General features: G+C 38.2%; 1 protein-coding gene across 4 annotated transcripts in view; it reads right to left on the reverse strand.

Moving 5' to 3' along the window:
- CHST9 (carbohydrate sulfotransferase 9) overlaps positions 1-15,869 on the reverse strand; it is a 278,828-nt gene that overhangs the window by 108,156 nt on the left and 154,803 nt on the right. For all 4 annotated transcript variants that reach the window (NM_001256316.2, NM_031422.6, NM_001398493.1 and 1 more), the window contains one exon: positions 9,480-9,521. In NM_001256316.2, coding sequence (NP_001243245.1) covers positions 9,480-9,521 — 42 coding nt within the window. The remainder of the gene's footprint in view (positions 1-9,479; positions 9,522-15,869) is intronic.

Genomic DNA, 15,869 nt, shown 5'->3' on the forward strand with positions numbered 1-15,869 from the left:
TCAAAAACTGGAGGATTTATATAAGAAATAAAGTCCACCTCCTGAAAAAAAACATTTAAATTGAACAGTGATTGATTGAAAAATATTTTCTGTGTACACATTCCCCCAGAAAAGGGGGAATTTTTCTGGTTTACATCTGGTAGATTTCTCAATTGTAGTAAACACTATTCACAACACATTCTAGACATTTTCTTGACCTTTATTTCTGTGATACTCTTCTTTTTTTGCTTTCCCAGTTTTTGTCATTCTTTTAGGGTCTCTCTCTTTTCTATTGTCTCTTTTTTGCTTATTTCTTTATCAATCCTTAGTGGGGGTCACCAAGGACTCTGCCCTGCATTCCTTACTCATTCATTTCTACATTTTTAGTCTTTTGACTCCACCTATGAAGTTAATGATTTACTTCATGAATACTTGTTTCCATTTGAGCCTCTTCCTAAAACTAGGTTTTAGTTATGGTCATTTGCAGATATCTAATGTGATCCCAAAGCTCAAAAAAGAAGTATTAAAATTCCTAGAGTTTTCTGCTAAGATATTCTTGTAGCTGGTGCATTCTGGCTGTGCTGCAAGCTCAACGGCCTGGAATTTCATGCCCCATGATTAGACATCCTGGCACATTTCTCCAATTTTTCAGTGTAAAGAAACATACTTTTTATTTTCCGAAGTTTAAATGATCACCAGAGAGGCAGTTGTGTGTGTGTGTGTGTGTGTGTGTGTGTGTGTGTGCAGGCACTACGCATCCTTCGGAGAGTGTGAGGGGAAGGGACCTGAGAAGAGGAAAGCAAATGCTGCCTGGCCAGTGTAGGGCGTGGAATCAAGGAGGGGACACTGACTTTGAACTCTGCACCCAGCTCATCCATCTGCCTGCCCCCAGTCTTGTTGGGAGCATCCAGTCACACAGACCCCTGCCTCTCCTGGCGACTCTGTGTGGAGGGATACGTGCTAGCATATGTGTACATACTTCCTAATAGCAGGAAATAATGGCTTGAAAAATTCAAAAGTCACAGAGAGGGTTATGTAGGGGCTTCTATACTCCAATAGACTAGGCTGACCAAAGGGTAGAGGATTCCACACATGGTTTCAGGCCTTCTTTTCCTTTATCACTCTGCATCATTTCTATGAATTCTTTAAAACCCTTTTTAGTAGAATTCTCTGCTTCTTGTTTCTCTGCAATCCATATTACCTGCCTCAGATTGATGGTGTCTGTGAGATTTGGGTCCCTCGCAAGGTCTCAATCTAAGTCCTGGATATAATTTCAAGACTTTGCTTCAGCCTAATCTTGTGACACGTGGCCTTCTACAAACTTCTTCAGTATATGCATGCACATGTACCTGATGTGGATCCTAAATTCAAACCCACTTGGTGAGCATCCCCCTTTCTGTCTCACTATTCTACAGACCTCCTGTCTTGAGAATTCTGACCCTGCTCATCCCAGCCATGGGCTATCAGTCACCACTTATAAATGTAAGTTACTTTTTGGGCACTCTAAACAAAAGCATTAATTTTGGCTTATTATGGCTATATACACCTCATGCTTCTTTTGTAAGGAGTGTGGCTTGGCTTATAAGCTGCTGAAAGGCAGAGCAGTCTGCCTTGCTATCACCCCTGAGCATAACCAGCATGCTCACCACCGCCTCTTTCCTACCTCACTCTACCCGTTTCTCTCCTCTCCTGTTACCTTGGCCTAGAACACGTGGCTTTTACCTGCCTAAGGATTTCATCTTTGCTGCTTTTCCTGCACAGAGTGCTCTTCTCCACTGGTTACATGGCTGGATCCCCCTTGATCCAAGTCTGTGATTAGATGCCACCTGCACAGGCAGGCCCCTGTTCCTGTCTTTATAGCACTCTGTTGCTTCCCTGCAGAAAATCTCACAAAATCAAAAACTGTACGTTTGTTTACTTGATTAACTCTCCCCTCAGACAGTAAGCTCCCGGAGGTCAGGTACCTGGACGTTTGCTCACCACTGTATATCCAGCGCCTAGCACAATATGGGTCAATAAACACTAATCAAAGGAAATAGTGTTAGAGCTTTCCTAAGCTCTAGGTTGTGTTAGAACATTATCTTAATAAAGGTGATGAGGATGTTTTATATATCTATACTTACATCAATCTCTCTTTCTATAGTTGTGTGTATGTATACATCTATGATGACAGATATAGTATGCACATATGATATTAAAGACTTTATTTAAATACTGATTTACAGTATTGAATCACTGTATGCAATACATAATATTATTAGGAGAGTTTCATAATTTGCCATCATCCTCTCACTGCAAAGGTGAGGATAAAGAACAGAAATCATATGTTCTGCCTCCCTGGAACTGAAGTCCTTGCTGAAAGACAGTGAATAATGCTATAAAATCACTTGTGATATAAAGATCATTATCTAAAGTCATTATCATACATGGGACATTCAAACCTCACACTGAGTTTTTCTAGTACTTCAAGCCTGACAATTTTCAAAACACTCAAATTTCTATTTCTACTTTATATTTCTCAGAAAAAAGAGAGTAAACCAAGGAGACACTGGAAAATTTACGGTTAATCACAAATTATTGGGATATTAAATGCATTTTCAACATAACGATATTTCTGACTTATGATGGGCTTCTTGGGACATAACCCCATCATAAGTCAAAGAACATCATATTCACAAACAGATCTGTGCAAAAATGTCCATAGCAGTCCTATTCATAATAGCCTCAAACTAGAAACAATCCAAATGTCAAAAACAAGATAATGGATAAGTAATTTGTAATGTAGTCATACAGTAGAATATCACACATCAATAAAAAAGGAGTGAATGACTGATATATGCAACAATCTCAAAATTATTACGGCATGTGAAAGGGGCCTTTACAAAGTACATGCTGTGTGATTCCATTTATATTAAGTCCAAGAATAGGCCAAACTAAACTATGGTGAAATATGTAAGAAGTGGTTTCCTGGGAGGTAGAGAGAAGGTAGAAGAAGGGTAGGGAGGTAGGTGATGAGGTTTTGAATTGGAATTGACTGGAAAGGGCAAAGAGAAAACTATTTAGGGTGTGGGATTCAATACCTTATTTTGGGTGGCTGGTACACAGGTGTATCTAATTCTCAAAACTTACTGGATTGAGAGAATACTTAAGATCTGGGCATTTTATTGCAAATTATACATCAATTTTAAAATTAAGAGATTCTATTATTTTGTTTAAAATTGTATTACTGAACACTGTTTGGAATATTTCCCTACTTTCTAGGCATGTGAAACATTTTTAGAATTCTTGTATTTTATAAATTTATCAACTTAGTTTATCAAGTATGATGACAACATTAATGCATCCAGTTTCCTTAGATTAAGCCTCAATTTATTGTGAAGTTCAAAAACATAAAGAATTACAAAAACCAAAACCAAAAAGCCTTGTCCAGAATCAAGATTAAAATTTCAGAGATGAATGTCATTGCCACACTATGCCAGCAAGGGGAGTAGTTACACTTTGAGAAGAGCTCCATCTCCATCACCGCTGAATTATTCTATGGGGCACTTTAACAAGGCCCCAAAAATTGACTTTTGAGTGTTGTCATGATGGAAATGACAGATCATTTTAATGCAAGAGAAAAAGATTGAAAACCTTGACCCTTTAGATTACTCCGAACCTCAATGAGAAGGAGAAAAATACTTGCTGATCAGCTTATTAGAATATTATGTTCATGTAATTCTGGTACCAGGAAAATATTTAAGAGAATAGCTAAATTAACTGCAGGGTGCCACTTTTTCTTTGCTAATTATTTTCATACAAGAATAATCATATACAGCCCTTTCCCTACAAAAGAAAAAAACCCAACAACTTCACAGTTTATTTTTATACATGTGAGAAGGACAGCCCCAGTGTGTGCAGAAGGTACAAACTGTTGGAAAATCGAGGCTTGGTCTGACAGTAGATAAGGCTGGCAAACAGTACTTTTTCTTTCCCCTGCAGGATAAGGGCTTTTCAGTTGAGATTGTTAGGCTACAAATCTGAAGATTTATGCTGAATTTTAAAAAATATCATCATGTTCATCAATTCTTATAAGATTTGTAAGGCTTAATTCTCACAAAAGCTTAGGAAGGCTGCAGAAAAGTCTCTAACTATCCTTTCCTACCAACTTTGGTAATCCTGGATTTACAGAAAAGAATGTTCAGGCTGACGGTGGGAAACATGCCCCCAGGCAAGCAGGAGAGAGAGCAGGAGAATGGGCCTGCCAGATATGGACACTTATGAGATGGGTACCGGCCCTCTTTACCCTCTAACCTTCGTGACAACCACACCCTTGATTCTAACACCATAGCACCTTCTTCTCAATTTGTCTCATTCTCCGGAGAAACTGAGTGCAGAGGAGCTAGCAATGTGTGCCCCAGAAAATACCCTGAGCCACGCCCTGTGCTGGGCTGGAGTCTTGACCTATGTTTGGGAACTGTATCTCCGCAATCTGCAGTGCTTGTGAATACGATGTACCTCCCTCCCTTTGCCAAATGAGGGCAAAGACACTGAGTATAGGTAAACAATAGTCCATTTCAGGACCCGTGCCCAGGAGAACATGCCTACCAAATGCAAAGCTCTAGGGCACCAAGTGCCGGTTTGTGGACCCACAGTAGCCTGCAAGGATTAACTCTAGCTTTAAAATCACACGGCACTGCAGTTTGGCACAAAAGCAGCCCTCTACTCCGAGAGAGAGTATGCTATCAATATGTAAAAAGGTATTATCCTTGAATATGTGTATCCTTTTGCTGGTACATAAACCCTGCCTCAAGATATTCTTCATGAAATTCCAAGGAACATTTCTCAGTTCAATGACCCTAAGAAATGATGTTGAATTACTCTCCACTTACAAAATAGAGGAAAAGCATTTTCTTTCAGTTCCTGTAAATGGAGGCCTAGAGACGTAAAGGAGTCAGAGTCAGAAGAGTCAAGTTTTAGATTCTGCTTTGAACTATATCGAGATCTCCAAATCGGAGATGCTAGTCTGGGTTATATTCTTGCCGTCAAGGACGCACAGAACTGGTCCAAATTGACCACTGTTTCACTACATGGCAAAAAAAAAAAAAAAAAAAAAAGAGAGAAAAACATGTTAATGACATGCCACTGTACACCTTTCCCTAATGTTGGCTTTGCCACTGAATGGATGTGAGTCTTGTGTTCTAAGTGGGAAATAAACTAAAAGACCATATTCCAAGGATTACTAAAATCTGTGAGATATGTAAAGGATAGAAACAAGAGTGAAAAAGAACATACACAAAGAACCCAGAAATGGGAGACATGTTGATTACAGGAGGAAATATAAGGAGGGTGTAATTAGGGTCAAAGAAATAAAATGAATAGATGCTTGTCTTTGCATTTGTTTTTAATGAGTGGTGAGTTGCTTTCTTGAGCAGGCAACTGGGTACAAACCAGGCAGAAATAAAATGGGAGTTGTAGAGGGCACTGGCGGGGGTGGGTGTCTGGCATGACACTAGGAGATTAAAGCACCTTGGAGAAAGGACTGATGTGCATTTGTAGAATGGGAGAGAGTACCCTGTCTGAAACCATATTAGGAGACACATTACTTGGTGCTTCCTACCCTGGGAAAGGCAGGGCTGCACTTCAGTGTGGTTCATGCTGTGTAGGGAAGTCCCACCTGTGGGGTTGAGGGTAGTAATGTGCCATGGGGCAATCTCCACATTAGCAGGTTACCACAGTGGACCGAAAGAAATGTACAGGAAGCAAGGTGCTTGGAAGTGAATTTCACGTGATTCATGTTGGAAGTCACAGAAGAGTGGGCTTTGGGAGCCAAGGCTGAGAAGAGAGAAGAAAATACTCTCGGTCTCTCAACCCCTAATGAGTCTTTGGAGCTGTCTTTTCACAGGTGCCTGGAATTTTGTCCAATTGGATAGGTTTTTCCAGATGTTTCAAATGTTATTCATGGGAGATGTTTATATTCATTATCTCCAAAGATCTTGACTAGGAGCTAGCACCTTGCATTTGATATATTTAATGAATAGCCATTGACTGAGGGAATCAACCATGCTCCCAAATGAGGAATGTGTCTTATATTAATTAAAATAGGAGTCAATAACATGCAAGATATAGCCTATATTTCCTTTATTACTGCCATTTGGCAAATTGAGGACGAAAGCTCTAACAATTCAAATCTCTCTCGGAGGTAAGTTTAGTAACTATCAAGATAGATCTTGGCAGCTCTCTCTTGGGGTCCCCAAGGCTCATTAAACATTTTAAGAGGACGCTGAACATTTTCCTAGTGGATGGTGAGATAACTCACTTCCAAGTGTGGGAGGAAGTGCAATCTTGCCTGTTGCAACCAGCAAATTCTGGAATGAGGTTTAGACTTGGTGCTAAAGGTGTGAGGGGCAGGTAGCATGCAGTCTGGCTCCTTTTTATTAATAGTTAGCTGAAACTTTACCTTTCTATTTCAGAGGAGGTGGACAGCTTTTTTACTACCTTATGTGCTAGGGAAGAATGAAAGTTCAAGTGAAAGGGGAGGCTGGGAATAGGCTGCAGTTGGGATGTGAGACAAGGGTGGGAGGTGAGAGGGTAGGAGGGTCAGGCAGGGGTCTGGCTGGCCACTGTCCTAAATCTGAGCAGTAGCGTCAGGGCTGGAGGTTAGCTGATGGTGACAGCATATAACCTTGGAGGCATCTGGCTGCTCAGCCCTTTGCACAAGCCACTCACTTACTTGACAACAACAAGTCACAGGATCACAGGCTGCGGACTCTGAATAGAAAGGGCGCCATTCTGTCAAACTAATGCTGAGGCCGGAGAACAGGGCCTCTAAACTTCTGAGATCTGCACTGGCCAACGTTTCCAATTGTCCCCTCAATGGCACTTGCTCTCAGCCACTAGTATACCTGCTTTGATCTACCCCAACCCCAGACCATCAACTCATTCCTTTTGATTGCTCCAGAGTACACAGGTGTGGCTGTACCTGCAAACTCATGTTTTCAGGATGGGCTTTTAATTCCGCTCAAAAATATTTTTCCATGTCTCTTTCTTGTCTTGCTTCCCCATTGCAGAATTTTTTCCTCTTTCCCCAGAGATAAGCTCTTACTCACAGAAGACAGTAACCCAGTGGTTCCTATCTATAGAGCACACATGGTGGATACCATATCTTTAATGCTCTCAGTAACCCGTGTAAGCTATGTGCTGTTGTCCTTATTTTATTTGATTTTTTAGAGATAGGGTCTCACTGTGTTGCACAGAGTGGACTGCAGTGGCTGCTTACAGGTACAATAATCATCACACACTACAATCTTGAACTCTTGGCCTCAAGCAATCCCCCTACTTTAGCCTCCTGAGTAGCTGGGATGATAGGCACATGCCCCTATGCCCAGCTTGTCCCTGTTTTATAAACAAGAGCTCAGTGAGGTCACCCAGCATGTGTTCTGGCCAAGTGCATTGTAGTTTATAAAATGCCTCCACATGTGTTATGAAGTTCTCTGACCTATGAATTGCATGTTATTATTATCTCCATTTCACAGATGGTAAAATGGAAATTTAGAGGGGTTATGTGACCTACCCATGTTGCATTGTTCATGGGTGGCTGAACTGAGTTTCGAACTTGTGTCCTCGTATTCTACATCCCATGCTTGTTCACAGTATAGTGGCAAGAAAATGGGAGCTTTCAGGCATAAACTCTCTCAAATTTCTTTATATCCATCTTTAAACTCATCTTAGTTTTTCCCCACTCATCCTTTTCTCCTGTCTCAGGAAGAAGTTGATTCTATTGTGTGTTCCTAAAAGTTCTCTCCTGTGCCCTTGAATAATCTTATTCATTTCCATTTCTTCACATTTCAACTCTTTATGCAAAAGACTCTCAAATCTTTCTTTCTCTAAACTCCAATTATTGTTTTCGACCACTTAAAGGGTATCTTTTCTTGGTAATATACCTTTATGTATAGACCATACACTACTCCCACATTCCCTCAGCTCTATACAACTAACTCTAAGTCTACGTTGTTTTACTTGGGCAATACATGTGCTTTGATGTCTCCATGCTTTTGCTTGTACTGCCTGAAATGCTGCCCTTCCCTTTCTCTACTTGCAGAAATTCCATTCATTCTTTAAAGAATCAGTTCAAGCGTGATAACTGTTACTGAATATTCTCCCAACTCTTCCTGTTAGATTTAACAGTGTATTCTGTGCATTCCCAAAGCACTTTGTTTTTTGGGATAACACATTGCTTATCACATGAGAAAATCACTTGTCTCCATCTCTGTCTCAACTTATGGGCTACCAGTAAAGTGAAGACAAAAAGGGAATTTTATTTATCTCTACATCCCTTGATGCAATAAGCATGGCCCTTGGCTAAGTGTTTATTGAATGAATAAAGGAATAAATGGATGCATGGTGACTCAGTTACTATTCCAATTTTTCAATATACCCCTAGGAGGGCATGGTCTGATTTTGTCTTTTTCCCTCACCTCAAATCTTTGCTATTGCCCTAGGAATCTGACTTGCTTGCTTTGCAAAAATGTTGAGTTTTAAATGAAAACAAATGTTACCTGCCATGTGAGATCATGAAAAAGAAAATGGAATAATATATCATTTTTTTCTTGTAAAGTAAACATACTACTGTCATCTAGGTGATCAACATTACAGATATGCATCCCAAAATTAGAATTTATATTTATAAATTTTTAAGATAATAGGAATTGATCATCTTCTATTACTAAATGCTTCCATCCACATGTTACACAATAGCAAACCTCATTAGATTAGAATAATTAGTTTGGAAAGGAGGAGAGGAAGATCTAGCCTGAATTATGGAAGTCAGAATTTATTGAAAGCAACATTGTTTTATTACTTTCAATACTATTACCTGCCAATAAAGTCTAAGGGGATATCTACTTCATGATCTTAATAATCTTTATTTTACAGCTGAATCTTTTTGCCTAAAGACCACTGTATGCCAAAGCCATGAAAACAATGTATTCTTTTTACATGGGTCACAAATATTCCATTTCACTTAGCAAATCCATTCCTTGCAGAAAATTCAAAGCTAAATTTCAGCTTAGTCTAGATCAAATTCTCAAGAATTCTGTATTAGCAGTATCTGAATTAATGAGGTTTTACTCTATTCATAGAGGAAGACACTTTAAACAATAGACTACAGTGCAATGTGCCAGGAAAGTGTTAAGTACTTTTAAAATAAAAATAGAAAAATATGTAAACTTTTTCATATAAGGAAAACACCATCCTATATATAACTGAAATCAGTCTTCAGAGCCTTTAGTTTCCTTTGTAAATCCCTTGAGGACAAGGATCGTGGTTTGCTTGCTTTTTCTCCCCACCCTCCAAGACTTTACGCACTCCAAAAATGCCACCTAGGCAGTGCTTCCTAGGGATGGCTATCATCAGCAGAACAGGTGCTTAAAAGCCACACTCTGAGGTTTTCAGATATTCTAGTTGTTGCTCTGCTTATCTATAACTACCCAAGATTCAAACATTATGAGGAAGTTACTCACTGATTCTGGGTACAGGCCGCAAGTACTTCACTGGTCCCCATCCTGAAAAAGAAGAGGAAAGAAATTCATATATTACCATCACATCCAAAGACATTTATAAAACTTTCTACACAAAGATGCCTCAAAGCCTCTCATATTTTATTTGTAACAAGGAAAATGATGGGAAGGGAGAGGGTCATGAAATAAAATGTGTCATCCCCTGTGTTTCTGGCCTGATTAAGCTTGGTGTCACTTATTAGGAAACCTGGCATTACCATGAAAATTTGGTATAGAAAAGCCTGGGCTTTGAGCCTGTACTCTTTATGGCAGGGAAATGGAGCCAGGGACTGGGGGGTGGGTAGCATTGGAAAATGACCATCACAAGGAAGACAATTTCCTTTGATTCTCAGCATTCCATCCCATAACAGATCAATGTGCTAATATACAATAATATTTTCATTTATTAATAAAATCTTTGTGTAAAATTGAGTACTTGGGCTCGATGTCTTTGGGTGAAATTGAGATAGAGATGCCATGTACAGCTCCTGGCATTATTAGTGACCCACTATTGGATGCCTTAGTTTGGGAAGCTTGGAAGAGTAAATGAACAGAAAGCTAGGATAAAAAAGAGGGCTCTGAGGCAAGCAACCCCACGGATATTTAAATTATCCAGAACGAATGAAAGTTTATTCTGTAGTAAACAGCTATAAGAAAGAAATCTTAAGGTTTTCCTTGAACGGGTGATTTTTCATGGTGATTACCAAGGGCATCTTTCTGCCAGATGAAGTTGGCCTACTGTAACATAGTATATTTCTTCTGGCCTAGTCACCTATGGGGAGAGAAGAGCCTCAGTTCCTTCTGAGAACAATCTTACAGAGCAGTAAGAATGTAATTATATGACTACTTAGTTTTTGGCTTTTTGGGTTACATGGTTCCATTTCTTTCCTTTAAAACATTATATATATATATGTATATATATAATATGTATAATACAACATATTATAACATATATACTATATGTCATACCATATATTTTATATAATATATAACTATAATGAAATATATATTATATAATACACTTACATATATTATATATTAATATATATTCTATTCTGTATTTTATAAATATATAGGTAATGTTTTGCTCTCTGCATGCCTTTTAAAAAATATCTTTCAACATATGTTGACTAAAACTTGAATGAGTACTAAAGGATGGTGTGGCTTAAGCAATGGTAGGATTAATTGTCTGTCCTGCTAGCCTGCCTCATTTAAATCACCTAGTCTCAGTGTGACTCATTTATAATATTGCTTTGCTAACCCTAATTGAGATAAAAATCTTATTGGTACTTGTCTTTTAAGTTATTTTTTAGCAAATTTCACGTGTGCCAAAAAATACCAGTTTACACTTGCATCAATGATATGCTATTCTGTTTTTAGAATGATTTAAAGCATATATCCAAGGGCATTTTTAATTGTCTTGTTATGAACTTCCTGGTGTAAGGTACTGGCCATTCTACTTGATTTAGTAATATCTGCATTTTGGAGGCAGGTATTTATGAGTCATATAGCTCATCAGTAAGTCACAGGTCCTTCAGTACAACTGATCCCCAGGGGCTGGACCTGGATATGTAATGCATTGCTCCCACCCAATTTATTGTAATTGCAACTCTATATTTACCTGTTCACCCAGGTAATGGTAGCATGATTAAGGTCACACTATCATGGCTTAGTGATAAGAATATTGTTTAGACTAGAACAAAATCTTCCTCCACACAAAATTGATTATTTCTAGCATATTATCATTATTTATGCAGGCTGTCACTGAATCAAGGAAGGAAGTTAAATTGGTGTGGAAAAACTGGTTATTCAAAAAATCTGCTTCTTTATATCCTACAATATTCTGGTAAGTTGCTTATTGATTGTATGAGAGATTGTTCTCATCAAATATTGCTTTTAAGCTATCTGACTTATAACAATCAAGTCATTTCCTTAAAAAATGTGGACATGATAGGCTCTTTCCTCCATCTCCATGATGGCTCAAATATGAAGGTTGTGCAAATCTGGCAATTTCTTAAGGATGTCTGGAGACCTGATATTAGGGCATTACAATGAGAGTACACTCAGGTATTGGTAATTCTTCCCTGGTCTAGTTTGTCCCTCCACACATCATGGATGGAAGTATACTAGTTAGATAAATGCCGTTCTCCCCCACTATAGTAAACTTATTGAACACTGGGATGATCCAGTCTGGTTCCTCTTTTTAACTTCTCTGAACCTAGTTTAGTCTTATGCATATATATTGAATTAACCTAAATTTCTGAAAGAGCTATTTCTGTAAGCATCGATTAAATGATAGGGAAATAAATACAATTTATTTTTTATCTTTTGAATTGTCTCCTAAGGAAAAGTATCCTCTCCCACATCTCAATAATAGTAATATAGTATATAGCTCTTTAAAGGCTTTAACTATATCTTTTAAATCATTGTTATTTTTCTGTATATTTGTACATAATAAATATGTAGGATGTTGGGCTCAGTCCATACAATCAATATAGACTGACTGACTAGCTACAAGATCATGTACTGAATAGCTATGCATATTCTTCCATGGTTAACTGTGAAAATAACTTGAAACCCCAACAATGGGGATTGCTTCACAAACAGAAATTAATTGGGTTTGGCCAGAGCCACTAAAATTAATGAGTTTAAACCTCACATCCAGTATATCTGTTCTTATATTGTGTTTAGAAGATTGAAAAAGAATTAAGACTTAATTTAGATAATCAAATAAAATAGGATCTTTGCCTTTCATTCCATAACTTATTCTGATCATCGTTTTTTGTGGTGAAGCATGTTTTACCTCTTGAAACTTGGCATAAACATCATAATAAGTGAATAGGTCTAGAGCTTTGATGAAAATTTAATTTTTTTAAAAATTAGCATTTCACTGATCCTTATCCTGAGGGTTGGAGAGCTTCACACAGCACTGAGCCAGGTAGAGCTCACACTCAAGTGAGAGAACACAAATACAACCATGGTGTACTTTTCTCAAAGAATTCAAAATAATTCTTCTGGCCATGTGATAAATTAATTTAGTTGTTTGTCATCATCCTTATCTAACTGAGAATACAAGGATAGGAAAAGGTTAGAGAGCTTCCTAAGGCTATGTGGCAGTTTGTTGTTAAAGTTGAAATAGGGTTACATTTGGAATGCCAAGGCTTTATTTTCAATAATGAATCAGGATTTGTTTTTCCAGCTAAACTTTGTAGATATTTGATCATCAATATCCTCTTAATTTTACACACAGATATTTGGATGCAAAGAAAAAAATAATCACAGTGAAGTTTAGGTCCTTTGGTTGCTGGGTTTAAAAGTTTATCCCAATATTTTCTTTTGAAAGATTGATTTGGTCTCACCTTGCCTTTTGTTTTATCTTTTCTTTTAAAATCGCCTGGATGCGCCATTATTAAATGAATAATAACCACAATAACAGCTAACATGGATTGAATGCTTATTAAATATCAGACATGCTGCTGAGTGCGTTATGTGAACCTTATCTAATTTAGTATCATAAGAATCCCATGGAAATACTACCAGGATTTCTGCATATAGAATATAGCCACATATTTCCAGTTCTGCATTTTCTTACATAAACTACACCCATAATCATCATGTATATTTCTCAGTTTCTGTTTCATTAAAGTAGATTGAAAAAGGCACAAAGCAGAATCCTTTTAGATTTAAGTTTTTCCCCAATATTTTACCACTATCTAGCTCACATATAATTCTATAGCCTTTATTTTATTTTATTTTGTATTTTTTTGAGACAGAGTCTTGCTCTGTTGCCCAAGCAGGAATGCAGTGGCGCGATCTCGGCTCACTGCAACCTCCTCCCACTGCAACCTCTGCCTCCTGGGTTCAAGCGATTCTCCTGCCTCAGCCTCCTGAGTAGCTGGGATTACAGGCATGTGCCACCATGCCCAGCTAATTTTTGTATTTTTAGTGGAGATGGATTTTCACCATGTTGGTCAGGCTAGTCTCAAACTCTTGACCTTGTGATCTGCCTGCCTCAGCCTCCCAAAGTGCTGGGATTACAGATGTGAGCCACCATGCTCGGCCTATATAGCCTTTTATTTTTAGTAACTCAATTTTATTGAGTCTTTACAAAACATTTTAATAGAAATAGCAGTTCTCTTCTACACACCCATATATCATTGGTTTACATAATTATCATTGAATAATTATATGAACTAGCAAAACTGGCACAGCACATCTGGGTACAAACACCACTGACGCTTGGTCCACATACATCTCCACAGGAGGGATCAGGAGTTTACAGGCGGGCTAGAGGGCATCCGGTACTGAGGTGGCTGTGAACATCAGTCGATAGGATATAATGAGAGAACGGACAGAGTTGCTTAATCAGGCAAATCACTTAGGAGGCCAGTAAAAGTAACTTCTTTTTTTTTTTGAGATGGAGTCTCGCTCAGTCGCCCAGGCTGGAGTGCAGTAGCACGATCTCGGCTCACGGCAAGCTCTGCCTTCCGGGTTCACGCCGTTCTCCTGCCTCAGCCTCCTGAGTAGCTGGGACTACAGGCGCCCACCACCAGGCCCGGCTACTTTTTTTGTATTTTTAGTACAGAGGTGGTTTCACCATGTTAGCCAGGATGGTCTCAATCTCCTGACCTCGTGATCCGCCCGTCTCAGCCTCCCAAAGTGCTGGGATTACAGGCGCGAGCCACTGTGCCTGGCCAGTAAAAGTAACTTCTATTGTATTTTATACTTTAACTATGTATGCATTTGATAAAATTCATTACTTTGATAAAATTATTAAAACGTTTAAAATGGAAGGACAAGGAGGAAGAGCATGAGTTTAGGTATCCTATCCAAGATTGCAAAACTAGTGGTGGAACTAGAATTTGACGCCTGAATTTGGCCTCCAAGTCTAGAATTCTTTTGCTCCCTCCCATTATGCGTTAGGACAGGGATGATTGTGGTGGGTTGGGTGTGCTGCTGCAGACCAGAAAGGGGGCTCAAGACAGTTCTCCTGGTCAGCAGGAGAACAGAGCAAAAGAAGATAGAAGAAACCACAAAGTGATTAAATAGTTTTAGAAAAAAGACAATTCTTGCAAAAGAAGAGCACTCTGATTCTGTTTTCCTTGAGTTAACCCATGTATTTCTTGACTTTGTACCTCACTGGTTCAAAACAAAAGGGTTTTAGCATACAAATTTTGCTAATAGAACTGGTTTTTCTAACTCTAAAATTGAGGAAATCTTGAAAGGGCATCGCGTCTCTCCAGCAAACAGTAACAACACAGAAGAACCCATGATGCAATGGTCCCATGGGGAACCAAGGAACCAAGGGTGGGATAAAGCTTAAGGAAATTTGTGACCAAAAATAGCAACTGTACTTCAAATGAAGTACAGTTGTCTCTTGGTATCTGTGGCAGATTGGTTCTGGGGCACCCTGCAAACACCAAAATCTGTGAATACTCAAGTCCTTGATATATATCATGTGCATATCACCTATGCACATTCTCCCATATACTTTAAATCATCTCTGGAGTATTTATAACACCTAATACAATATAAATGCTATGTTCATAGTTGTGATATGGTATTGTTTAGGAAATGACAAGAAAAAAGAGTCTGCAGTTATTGAGTACAGACGCAACCATGTTTTTTCCCCCAAATATTTTAAATCCACGTATGATGGTATCCATGGATGCAGAAACCGACATACATGAAGGGCTGATTGTAATTTGAATCTCATCATCCACCTTTTTCTAATCTTTGGGTTTCATATGTTCTATTTCCATCAAGTCCTTCTTTAGGTAATACTATTTAAGCACCAGTTTTGAAGAACTTCCTAGTCCCCTAGAAAGGATTTTGTAGTAGCTGTTTTAAAATGCCTGAGAATAGAATATTATGTTTTCCCATTAGGTATTAATGATTTCAGTTTATGTTAAATGCTTTCTCCGTTAATTTCCTTGGCACTTCCCAAGTTATTTCCTTCAAGAAGAAAATTTGAAAGGTACTCAGATTTCTATGACTTCACAAGGAATTCATAAAAAGGTCAAGCTCTCAAATGGCTATCCCTTCAATAAAATTATGTTAAATTGTTCAAAATGTTTGTACATGGGTCATCACTTTTATGGACTTTGAAAAATAGCTGTTTAGTTTTTAACCGATCTGGTTATAAAAGTAATTATTGCCATGATGTGGTTGAGATTGAAAACTTTCTTTTTATAAAATAGAATTCAGCTTAAATATCTTTTTGGAAGGAGATTACAAGCCATGGATTAATTATTTGATTAACATGAGTAAACAAGTAAAGAGTATATGAGTAGATGGCTTGTTTCATGATTTAAAGATTGTAAAATTAGTTAATTAAAAGGAAACACAAGCTTA

The sequence above is a fragment of the Homo sapiens genome, chromosome 18, assembly GCF_000001405.40.
Source record: "Homo sapiens chromosome 18, GRCh38.p14 Primary Assembly".
Classification (NCBI taxonomy): Eukaryota; Metazoa; Chordata; class Mammalia; order Primates; family Hominidae; genus Homo; species Homo sapiens.